This window comes from Homo sapiens, chromosome 11 (assembly GCF_000001405.40).
Source record: "Homo sapiens chromosome 11, GRCh38.p14 Primary Assembly".
In the NCBI taxonomy this organism is placed as follows: Eukaryota; Metazoa; Chordata; class Mammalia; order Primates; family Hominidae; genus Homo; species Homo sapiens.
The window spans coordinates 76,175,534-76,186,324 of NC_000011.10; the positions used below are offsets into that span (position 1 = coordinate 76,175,534).

General features: G+C 58.6%; 6 annotated features.

Annotated features, from left to right (window-relative positions):
- Window positions 234-975: an enhancer, noted in NCBI's record as "H3K27ac-H3K4me1 hESC enhancer chr11:75886811-75887552 (GRCh37/hg19 assembly coordinates)". NCBI's record gives its function as "activates a minimal SCP1, AML or CMV promoter by ChIP-STARR-seq in naive H9 embryonic stem cells {active_cell/tissue: H9 hESC(naive)}" and the evidence as "EXISTENCE:reporter gene assay evidence [ECO:0000049][PMID:30033119]".
- Window positions 976-1,718: an enhancer, noted in NCBI's record as "H3K27ac-H3K4me1 hESC enhancer chr11:75887553-75888295 (GRCh37/hg19 assembly coordinates)". NCBI's record gives its function as "activates a minimal SCP1, AML or CMV promoter by ChIP-STARR-seq in naive H9 embryonic stem cells {active_cell/tissue: H9 hESC(naive)}" and the evidence as "EXISTENCE:reporter gene assay evidence [ECO:0000049][PMID:30033119]".
- Window positions 1,772-2,066: an enhancer, noted in NCBI's record as "tiled region #10154; HepG2 Activating DNase matched - State 5:Enh". NCBI's record gives its function as "activates a minimal TATA promoter and a strong SV40 promoter by Sharpr-MPRA in HepG2 cells {active_cell/tissue: HepG2}" and the evidence as "EXISTENCE:reporter gene assay evidence [ECO:0000049][PMID:27701403]".
- Window positions 8,805-9,586: an enhancer, noted in NCBI's record as "H3K4me1 hESC enhancer chr11:75895382-75896163 (GRCh37/hg19 assembly coordinates)". NCBI's record gives its function as "activates a minimal SCP1, AML or CMV promoter by ChIP-STARR-seq in primed H9 embryonic stem cells {active_cell/tissue: H9 hESC(primed)}" and the evidence as "EXISTENCE:reporter gene assay evidence [ECO:0000049][PMID:30033119]".
- Window positions 9,244-9,433: a silencer, noted in NCBI's record as "fragment chr11:75895821-75896010 (GRCh37/hg19 assembly coordinates)". NCBI's record gives its function as "represses an EF-1alpha promoter that drives an FKBP-Casp9 reporter gene in an ReSE screen in phorbol 12-myristate 13-acetate-treated (for megakaryocytic differentiation) K562 erythroleukemia cells {active_cell/tissue: K562(+PMA)}" and the evidence as "EXISTENCE:reporter gene assay evidence [ECO:0000049][PMID:32094911]".
- Window positions 9,587-10,367: an enhancer, noted in NCBI's record as "H3K4me1 hESC enhancer chr11:75896164-75896944 (GRCh37/hg19 assembly coordinates)". NCBI's record gives its function as "activates a minimal SCP1, AML or CMV promoter by ChIP-STARR-seq in naive H9 embryonic stem cells {active_cell/tissue: H9 hESC(naive)}" and the evidence as "EXISTENCE:reporter gene assay evidence [ECO:0000049][PMID:30033119]".

The window sequence follows — 10,791 nt, forward strand, 5'->3', positions numbered from 1 at the left end:
GGTGACTTGGACCCCCCGCAGATTCAGCTGTTACCCCAGCCTCATTTTCCACCCCATAAAATGGACCATGGGGCTGGGGGTGTAGGGCACACCTGGAGCTAGGCTTGATCCTGCAGGCAGTGGGGAGCCACAGAGGGTGTCGGGCAGGAGGGTGGTGAGGCCGGGGCCTGTGCTCCAGCAGTGCCGCTCAGTCTCTAGCCTGCTCCCCAGAGTTTCCAATTCGGTAGGTCTGGGGTGGGGCCTGAGGGACTTAAGCAGGTGCTGGGGTCACCATTCCTGGGGTGGTGGTGGGAGAGGCAAGTGGACAGAACGGGAGCCCTGGAGTGAAGGGCACTGTGACCTTGACCCAGGGGCCCCTGAGCTGCAGCAAGGGGCTGCCTCTGCCCCCTCCGGCCACATGGAGAAACAGAAGCCCACGGGGCAGGAAGGCCCACAGTGAAGCAGGGGTGGGAGGACCCAGAGATGATCTAAACCAGCTGGGCTCAGTTTAGAAGATGTAGCCCCTTGTCTCTGCAGCCAGACTCTCTTGTTCTTTCCATCTCAGCATTTACTGAGGCCTTCCCTGGGCCAGCCCTTGTATGAAACTGAAACAAGCAGGACCACACAGGGTGACTAGAGCTGTCCCAGAGGGAGCCCAGGGTGCCGTGGGTACTAATTTGGGGCCTCTGCCTGGAGAAGTCAGGGAGGACTTGCCACAGACGGTGGTGAAGGATCATCGACGTTTCCAGGCTGCCCAGGGACAGGCAGGAGGGATGGAGACACGCAAGAAGACAGCCACGTGGGGAGTGTGGGCTACAGGGCGGTGGCTGGGAAGGAGTGCAGGGCGCTTGGGTGCAGAGAGGAGCAGGCTAGGAGGGGAGAGTCCAGAGCAGGTTGGTGGCCAGACCGGGGGGCTCCATGCCAGCCTGGAGCTAGGCTTGATCCTGCAGGTAGTGGGGAGCCACAGAGGGTGTCGGGCAGGAGGGTGGCGAGGCCGGGGCCTGTGCTCCAGCAGTGCCACTCAGTCTCCAGCCTGCTCCCCAGAGTTTCCAATTCGGTAGGTCTGGGGTGGGGCCTGAGGATTTGCATAATGCGGGGGCAGGGGGGAGACGCTAAAGCAGGTGGGGAACGATAGCACTTCCCATTCATGGAGATAGGAACCCAGAGGGGCTCAGGACTGGGGGATGAGGAGAGGAGGTTAAATCTGAGGCCCTCAGCAGGAATCAGATCCCTGTGGTGTCAAACTTCCGCCAGGTTTGAGACTGGAGAGATGTCTGGCTGTAGAGGAAAAGGCGAGGAACCTGGGATACAACTGGTCCCTGCCCCAACCCAGGAGGGGGCCCCTTGCAGGCCTGCGGCCGAGGATGGCTCCCTCCTCCAGGAACCCAAAGGCACCACCACCTCAAGCTGCCATTGCCTAGGGGGACCAAGATTGAGACCAGGACTCTGCAGTCAGACCTGGACCTGAGTCTAGTCGCCTACTGCTCTCTGTGACCCTGGGCAAGTCCCACCACCCCTCTGAGTCCTGGTTTCCCGTCCAAAATAGCTAAAACAGTACCTGCCTTACCGAGCTGTTATGAGGGTGGGGGATGGGAAAGTCCTGGGTTAACTGTACACCCCTGGACATGCACATGTTGCTATTATTGTTATTATTATTATTGGAAAAGGGAGCCTAGTGGGAAGATATGATGTCTCACCCCCAAGGAATTATAAATGGTGGAATTTCTGGCACCATAACAGGTTTGTGCAAAAAATCATTTGTGATGGGGGCCCTAGGACACTGGGGGGCTCATGGTCCTCTGTGATGTGGCTCCTGGCACAGGGCCTGAGGCAGGGCCACTGGGCCAAGATCTGAGCTTTGCTCCCTTCCACACAGACTAAATATTTGTGTTGCTCCTCCCCCAGCTTGCCAGGACCCAGGCCCCTCTCTGGTAGGGAGAGGGGAAGACCATGCTTCAGAGGGCAAAGCAGGCGAGGGTGGCGGGATTGATTACAACAGGCCCTGCTCGGCCCAGACCCCACAGCCCCCCAGCCCCTCGGAGGCCGGAGCACAGCCAGGGAATCTGCCTCTGACACACAGCGGGACTGGGGGCAGCCCTGCCCCTCTGGGCCTTAGTTTCCCCATCTGTAGAGTGGGGTTGAGGCCAGGAGAGTTGGAGAAGCTGACTTCCAAGGTCTTTCTGGTTCTCTCTCCAGTGACTGAGGCTTCCCTGAGCCTCCAGCCCTTAGTGAGCAGAGGCGAAGGGGACCTGTAAAATGGGACAATCCCTCTCGAGCTGAGAGGTGGGAGGACCCAGCAACGACAAGGATGGATGCCCTAGGGAGATGGGAGGCCTTGGAGTGGTGGCGTCAGGCTTACATGGAAGCACCCTCAAATGCCACTAATTCTCCCTCCTCCCCAACATAATACACACTGCGGCCATTTGTAAGCACCTGGTCTGTGCCTAGCATCATGGCAGGGGCTATCACAGGAGGCCAGGCCTCCAGCTCCCCAGGCAGTGGGGGTCCCATGGAAACAGCCTGATGGGACCAGCCACGAGGGTAGGCAGAGCAGTGCCTGAAGAGGAGCCCAGGTGCCAAATCCTGGCATCAGGATCTTCATGCTGATCATTTACAAGACCTCGACTCTGCCACAGGCCATCCCAAGCCCTTAACCTTACCTGCTTCTCTCAACATCCCAGAGAAGGGAGGACTGGCCTGGTCCCTATTTTAAAGATGAAAAAACAAAGGCACCGGTCACCCAGGGATTAAATGGTAGAGCTGGGCCTGGTCTGGCTCCGGAGTCACCCACAGTACCTGTTTCTTCAGTAGTAATGATGCCACGTCCTACTCACAGGATATGTGAGTGGCTATGCCAGCAGGAGCCGTGTGTGCCCTGTGCGTAGGGCCTCGGAAGTTCTCAGTAAGGGCTGGTTGTGTGCTTGTTACCACAGCAGGGGCTCAGCTGCAGGCCAAGGGCGAGGCTTCCATAATCCCAGGCAGGTGAGTCTGGGGCTGCTGCTGTGAATGTTTCTTAATCAAGGTGCCTTCCAGTAGTGCCCCTTTGCAAGCTCCTTCCAGAGATCAGCCGTCCTGCCTCCAGCAGCCAGGCCCTTGCAGGGAGCCAGGTCCCCAGGCAGAGGTGTGGGGCTGTGGCCTTTGCAACGCGTGCTGCAACCCTTCCATGGGACCAGGGCCTGGAGAGCTCTGAGTGAGACCCCCCAGTGCACCCTTGCACCAAGGGCAGCCCCCAGCACACAAGAGGTGCTCAGGAAACATGGATGTCGTGAGAGGGCAGGAAGGCCTTCAGCACAGGGCCAGGCATCTCTGCGGGCCTCTGAAGTCGGAACCACTGGGAGCCAGCACCCATCAGGAGCAGGCTTCTTGTCCCAGTTCCCTTGTCTGTAAGTCGGGGTTAGCCTGGGGAAAGATGGGGTCTGGGGGCCCACCACTCACCAGTGAGCAGCATCCTTCAAGAGGCACACATGTCCCACCTAGAGCCTGGACCTGAGCCCCAGCCTCGGGCCTGGGGGTCCACCAGCCCCTCTGGTATGGGCCCTTGCTGCCTTGGGCTTCTGCTGTGTCTGTGGACCAGGCCTGGGTCGGGTTTTTGGGGGACAGCAGGAACAGATGGTGTCCTCGCAGGCCCTGGTCCACCAGCATCTGCAGTCCCAGGACCACACGAGGTACGGGTAGGGTGCTGTAAGGGGCTGGGGGACTCGATGGTGGGGCCGGGCCCTCTCAGAGGCCCACAGTCTCCTGGGAGAAGGGCTGCAGGGCTGCAGGGCTTCGTCAGGAAGGGCAAAGCCTCCCTCTGCTCGCGCTCCATTCCGGCCTTCAGAGGAGCCCTGTGTGAGGGCAGGGCTGCGCTTCACCCCTGCAGAGCCCTCCTGTGCAGGTCCCCTGGGATCCCACAGAGCTGGGCTTTTCCAGAAACCGGAAGGCCCCTGCGAGTGTGTCTCCTGAAGAGCCCTTGCTCTCCTCACCCCGACCTTGGCCACACTGTCCTCTGCCTCGGTGTCCCCCTCCAGTCCAGCCAGGCACTGCTCTTCCTCCTTCTGTATCCAGCTGCAGCACCCATGGGGCCTTCCCTGGGAGGGCTACCCTGACTCTATCCCCTTGCCCCTGGCCCTGGGCCCCCAGCCCACTTTGCTCACCCCTCAATTACAGTCTCTTACCCAGACTCTTGGGGCTTTGGGGCCCTGAGGGCTGGAGCCATTTAGCCTCAGCTCTTACACCCCAGCATCTGCAGAGGCTGTCTCGGTGGAGGTTTGTTGACTGACTGTGTCACTGAATTATTCTTTAATCACAGTGGCTACCAGTGGATAACTCTTACTATCTATCTGCTGAGTGCTTGATGTGCATTACCTACTTTGAGCCTTACAACAAGACAAAGAGGTGGGTCCTGCCATTCATCCTGCTTCACAGATGAGCAAACAGGGACTCAGAAAGCTGAAGTAACTCACGGCCAGCAAGGGCAGAACCAGGAGCCACAGTCAGGCCTGTGCCTGTAACACATGGTCCTCCCCAGCCCCTCCCGCAGCAGAGTCATCTCTCCTTGGTGCTCTTGGATCAGAGGGTGCCCAGGTTACCTGTCCCTCACCCACAGCAGGTGTGTAGTCTAGGAGCTGGAGCTGGCTTACCTGTGTCCCCAGCCTGCAGCACAGGGCAGGGCATGGAGCCCAAGTTCAGGGGAGCTTTGGGGAAGGAATGGCAGGTTGTATAACAGGCACAACCCACCTAGCTCTGGCTGGGCCTGGTCAGCCAGGCAGGGTGCTGGAGACTTTACACACTTGACCTCTCCCGAGTGTCAGGACAAGCTGTGTTCACCCTCATTTTACAGCCAAGGAAAGGGAATTGGGGGTGCTGTGATGTGTTCAGGGTGACTCAGCTTGGAAGGGGCAGTGCAGGGTTAAAACCCTGTCTGTGTGGCTCTGACAGGCCGTGCTCCTGCCTGCTACCCAGGACAGCCTCCCGCAGAGTTCCTGCATTTCATGTGTGTTCTGGAGAGAGAGAGAGGGTGGGGTGGGTGGGTGTGGGGGTGTTGGCATGGGAGGTACGCTGTGTATGTGCAGGAGGTGGTGGGGTCTGTTTTTCTTTGCTCCTAAATGGATTTTACACCATGCCTGGGCTTTGGCCTACACAGGAAGTGTTGATCATCATTCCGGAGAATCTGGATCAGCCCCTGGTGCCGATGGAGTCTCTGTTTGCTGCGAGAGAAGCCCCCAGGGGCTTGCAGGTCCACCCAGCAAGACAGCAGGAGGGAAGGACAGCAACTGCCAGGAGGGAACAGCCTCCAAACCGACCCAGATGTCACCTGGAGCACGGAGCCCCATCACAGGCCTGCAGGAAGACCATCCAGGATGAAGAGCCAGGCCCCAGGAGCTGGCTTTGGATCAGAGGGTGCCCCGGTTACCCATCTCTCACCTGGGATGTCTAGGGAAAGGCCAGGGCTGAAGAGAGCCAGGGTCTGCCTGCAGTGGCCTCCTGCCTGCTGCTCCCACTCTGCCTTGGGTCAGATGGGACTGGAAGAGAGGGCAACCTCCGGGGGAGGGGACGTGGGGAGGCAAGGATGGTGTAGATGCAAGAAAAGAGAAATCTTGCACTTCAGGTGCAGAAAGCCATGGCAGACAGTTCTGGAGTCTTCAAGTACTAGGCATGATGGACTCGTAGTGTCTCGAGTCCAGTGTCCTGAGATCGCAGGGCCGTGGAATGGTTCGGAATGGAGGACCAGACTCTAGGAAAAATGGACTCTGGGAATCTTGAGTGTGAAGGAGGCTCCGAGGTAATGACATCTAACGGGCTATTGTCCCTGCAGCCCTCAGGCAGCCTCCTACTCCACCACCTTCTTGAGGACCGCATGCTTTTGTGGATGCGCAGACAGTGGAGACATAAAATAAATACTCCGATTTGAACGGCATCTGTGCCCAGGCGCACTGGAGGCTGGGCCTCTGGCAAGCTCTTGCCTTCACCTGCCAGCCTGAATGGGGGTGTCTGGGATGATTGTCCTGATCAGCCACGTCCTCCTCTTGCTCCTCCCCCATCACCCACCCCGGGCTCCCTGCCCCAGCGCTCCAGCCCCTCTGCTGGCGCCCAGCAGGTAAGACAATGTGGACCAAGGGGCCGGTAAGGAGACTGTCTTCAGCAGCCACAAGCCTGGGGAGCAGAGCGGATATTGATTTGGTATATGGGAGCAAAGGGACCATTAAACGTGCGGCTGTTAAATTGCTCTGCCTGGAGCCAGCCAGCTCTGCGGGCGGGCGGGTGGCCTGGCGGGCAGGCGGCGGTCAGACCAGTCGGCTGCTAGTGCCCTGTTGGGGGTGGTCTTGGATACCTGGCAGGACCCAAGGCAGCCTGGCTTGGATCCTTGCTGCCCTGGTGCCCACAGGCCCCTGAGCTCCAGCCATACCCACCTCTTGGCCTCCTCTGAGCATACTTTGCTGCCATGGCTGTTCTCACACAGACCCCTCCACATCACCTTCTTCTCCATCTCTTAAAATCCTGCCCCACTTTCCAGACCCAATGCAAATGGCACCTCTTCCATGAAATCTTCCTGATTTCCCACTCCTTACTCCCAGTACCCAGAAAGGAGTAGGCCTTCCCTCTCCAAATCCCCAAAGCCCCAGGGCTCTGCCTGTCTTCGGCCTCCTGTCTTCTCTGCTATAATAACTAAGAGTTGTGGGCCCACTGAAGAGGACACCTGAGCTTCATGTGCTCCCCCGTCCCTCGCGCCAACACACACACAGGTGAGGCCTGGGCGGCCAGGCACACAGGCGATGCTGAGCAGCTCACCTGAGGAGGGCAGGGCGGGAACGTGTTAGTTGAGCTGTGGCCTGATCCTGATGGGCAGCTCCTTCCTGGCACCTGCGCCTGGACTGCGCTTCCCAGGCCCTGCAACAGATGTCAGGAACTGCTCAGTCTTGAATTGTTCCCTGTTCCTCTCTTGCAATGCCCTCCAGCGGCTCCCAGTCAAAACCCCCACTCAGTCACAGACCACCTTCATCCCTGGGATGCATGTTGTGGAGGCTGAGACAAGCCCAACAGTTGGAGCCAAGCAGTCCGAGGTTTGAATCTCAGCTCCTCCACTAATTATTCTCTAACATTGGGCCAGTCACTTCCCTCTCTGAGCCTTAGTTTCCTCATCAATAAAACAGAGATACTGGGTCATATCCCTTAGATTGGGTGTAAGAATTGGACAAAACAACTGCCGAAGAGGCCCAGAGAGGGCCAGTGGTTGCCTAGAGTCACACAGCAAGAAGCTAGAAAAGATGCAGGATTCCTACCTCCTAGCCCTAAACTCCCCTTACCCCGTCCAGCCTCTCTGGGTCTGGGGTTCCGGACTGGAGACTGCATCATGCTGGGGCCTGGTTTGTGTAACCCAGTGGCTGGTCTCCACAGCCTCAGGAACCACAGACCAGTGGCTTGCTCAGGGCTGGGCTTGGGCCCCTTGGTTGTTCCTCTGGCCTGGCCTGGCCTCCTCACGGGGTCTTATCTGTCCACTCTCCCCTTTCCCACCAAACTAATCTCTCCCTCTTTTCAGGAGTTCCTGTTTCCTCTCTGCCGCCTTCTTGTCTCCCTCCTCAGACCCTGTCTCTCCCAGGTCTCCAGCCAGCCTCCCACACTTGGTTCAGAGCCGCCTCAGAGCGGCTGGTGCTGTCATCACTGGGGAGTCTCCATCTTTCGGGGGCTCTCCAAGCCTCACACAGCCCTGTCTGTGACTGCTGCCCCTTACACAGGAGGGAGATGGAGCAAGTCCTGGGAAGGGAAATCTGCTGGGGACAAGAATTCTGACACCCTCAGATCAGTATGCAGCCTTCAAAATCCTTTGGGTTGGCCATTGGCCTGGGGGCCTCTACAGGGCTGGCAAGGCAGTGGTTTGGGGTTTCTACTCCACAATTCCTGAGTACCAAGATCTCACGTTTCCAAATCTCTGAACACAATGAGATCCTGAGCTACCAGAGCTCCGAGGTCCTGGGAGCCTCCACACCCCTGTGATGCACCTGGCAGAGGCCCCAGCATCCACCTCCCCGGAGTGGGGCTCAGCCTGGTTGCATTCTTAGAGCCTTGACCTGGGGGTGAGGGGAAGCACCGGGACCAGCTCCCACTGCCCTTCGGTTGTCCAGCTCCTGGCCAGCCAGAAAGGTTAAGTGCTTTGTCACAGATGTGGGGACGGGCCAGTAGCCCGCTGAGTCAGGGACCCCCCCCCAGGGTCTCCTGTCCTGAGCTTGAGGACTCCCCTCCCAGCCCTCCAGCTCAGCCCAGGAAACGGTCTTCAGCTCTCCATGCAGCTCCCCCGAGCCTGCTGGGAGTGCGGACATGTGAGCAGGAACGCACCTGCGCTCAGAGCCCTGCTGTGCTGGGAGTTTTCCTGAGGTCTGGAGCGAGCCGCCTTTTCTTGCAGAGCCTCAGTTTCCTCCTCTGTCAATGGTAACAATACTCACTTCGGAGGGCTGCTGTGATGACTTGGGCCACTGTGTTTAGAAGGTCACACAGCAGGTGCACAATAAATGGTAGCAGTTATATCATGTGGCCACCCTTTCTGAGAGCCATTCTGGGTCCTTGGTCTGGTTTCCCCATTTACTTGTCCTGACAGAGGTCCAAAGGACACTCCCAAATCCAACATTTTGGAGGTATGTTTTATACCCAGCCCTGTTGTGCTGCCCCCCAGATCCCAGGGCCCATTGGTGCATATGGCTGGTCCCAGCCCATGAAAAGGCCCCAGACAGGTGGGGAAGACAGATGATATGACACAACATAGGCCTCCACAACACCTTGGTTCCATGAAACATTGCAGGGAGCACAGAGGCTGTGGAAACCCAGAGGAGGCCCCTGACCCAGGCTGAGGGTAGTTGGGGAGGGCTTCCTGGAGGAGGGAGCCATTTACCTGGCTTTTGCAGAAGAGGGCATTGGCTGGCAGCTTGAGAAGGAGGGTGATGGCTGCTTTAAATGTTCAGAGGGTTGTGGGGTGCCTGAAGAGGGGGAGATCCCTTCCACCTAGGGCACTGGGGAAGGTTTTGTGGAGAGGGCTGTGAGGGTTGTGTGGGATTCCAGCAGGGAAAACAGCACTCTTGGCGAGGGAGAACAGCAGATGCCCAGAGGGCAGGCAGGCTGAGCAGCTGGGAGTTGCAGGAAATGCTGTTGGAAGAATCGCCTGGGGGACAGGCCTTGTGTTCCAGGCTAGGGACTGGGGATTGGTTTTGTGGGCTAGGAGGTTGCTGAGAGCTATGAAGCAGGGAAGCCCTGGGCCTGGAGAGCGCACATTCCAGGGGCTCCTTCCAGGGAGGCTGGGGGTTTTCAACAGAGGGGCTGGCAGGGGCCCCACCCGGGAAGGCTCCACCTCCCCCCGTTCCCAGCCCCTTATCAGCTCTGTGACCACAGGAAGGCCCTTCCCATCTCTGAATTTCCTCATCTGCAAAACACACCAGAAGACTTATCTTGAGGTTCCTTGCAGCTGGTGACGCTGTGGCTCTGGCTGTCCGCACTGCAAGCTTTCAGGCAGGGCCTCGAGGATGGCCACAGAAGGCCCCCTTCTTCCCACTCAGGATGGGTCCAGCCCCTGAGGGGTCATCCATGCCATCCCACCCCCAAGGATGTGGCTTCACTTCTCCAAATCCTGTGCAAGGCCCCGCTCTGCCCCAGCCCCTCCAGGTGGTGTCTCAGTCCTCAGCCGGCTCGGGGAGGGAAGAGCACTGGTACTAAGTCCGAGTCTCTCTGGTGCATGCAGAGATTTGGATTATAACATCCTCTTACACCCCAGCCACAGCAAGATCCAGGTGATGAACCACTGCTTCTGTTTCGGGGCCACCTGCCCTGGCCAGGCACTGGGGATACCCCACTTACTCATCTCTTGGTTACTGGTGCTGCCTCCATGAGGGAGGTGACACGGAAGCTCAGAGGGACAGTGATGTGCCTGCGGTGATCCTGTTCCCCTTGGCACCCTGTCTTCACTTGGCAACAGCCAGGACCGCCGACCTCCCTCCTGCCTCCCTGGCTGTTCCTTCTGTCTCCTGTGTCTTCTCTGAGCTTCATCTCCCCAGCCTCCAAGGCAGGAGTGCCCCAGGCCTTGGTCCTCTTTACTCTTCTATCCCACACACTCCCTTAGCGATGACACCCAAATGTGGATCTCCAGCCCTGGCCGCTCCCCAGCACTCCAGACCCGGATATCTGCCCGGCCACTCAGTATTTCCACTAGGAGCGTAAACTGTATCACAATCCCCACGGGCCCAAATCTGAACCCCAGGCCTCTCCCCACCCCCATGTCGGCATTCGGCCCCTTCAGCCTTCCCAGTGCTCCAGCCAAAACCCCGGCAGTCATTCTTGGGCCTCCTTCCCCTTACACCCCACATGCAAAAAGAGAACAAATCCTGTTGGCTCCCCCTTCAAAACAGAACCAGAATCCAACCACTTCTCAACACGTCCAATGCTGCCAGCCTCCAGGCACGAGGCCTTTCCCAACCTTCAGCCTTCCTCCCCACCACTCCCATTTTACAAATGGGGAAACTGCAGCTGGCAGAGAGCCCTCCCCAGGGTCACGCAGAAAACCCACCAGGGCTAGCTAGAGCCTGGATCTGCACCACCTCCCCGAAGTCTGCATCCCAGCTGCCCAGGGAGTGTTTTCCCTTGAAGCCAGCTTAGCAGGCAGGCCTGACAACACGGCCAGGCTTTGAGCTGCGCCTGCGTGTGTGTCCCTGAGGAAAAAAGATGCTGCCAGCTGGGTTTATGTTTCAAGACGTCTGTCCTCGCCCTTGACCAAGAGCTCTTACAGGGAGATCAGGGCCAGGGCCTGGTGTGGGGGGAGCGCGGGGGGAGAAGGGACATCAATCGGAAGCCGCC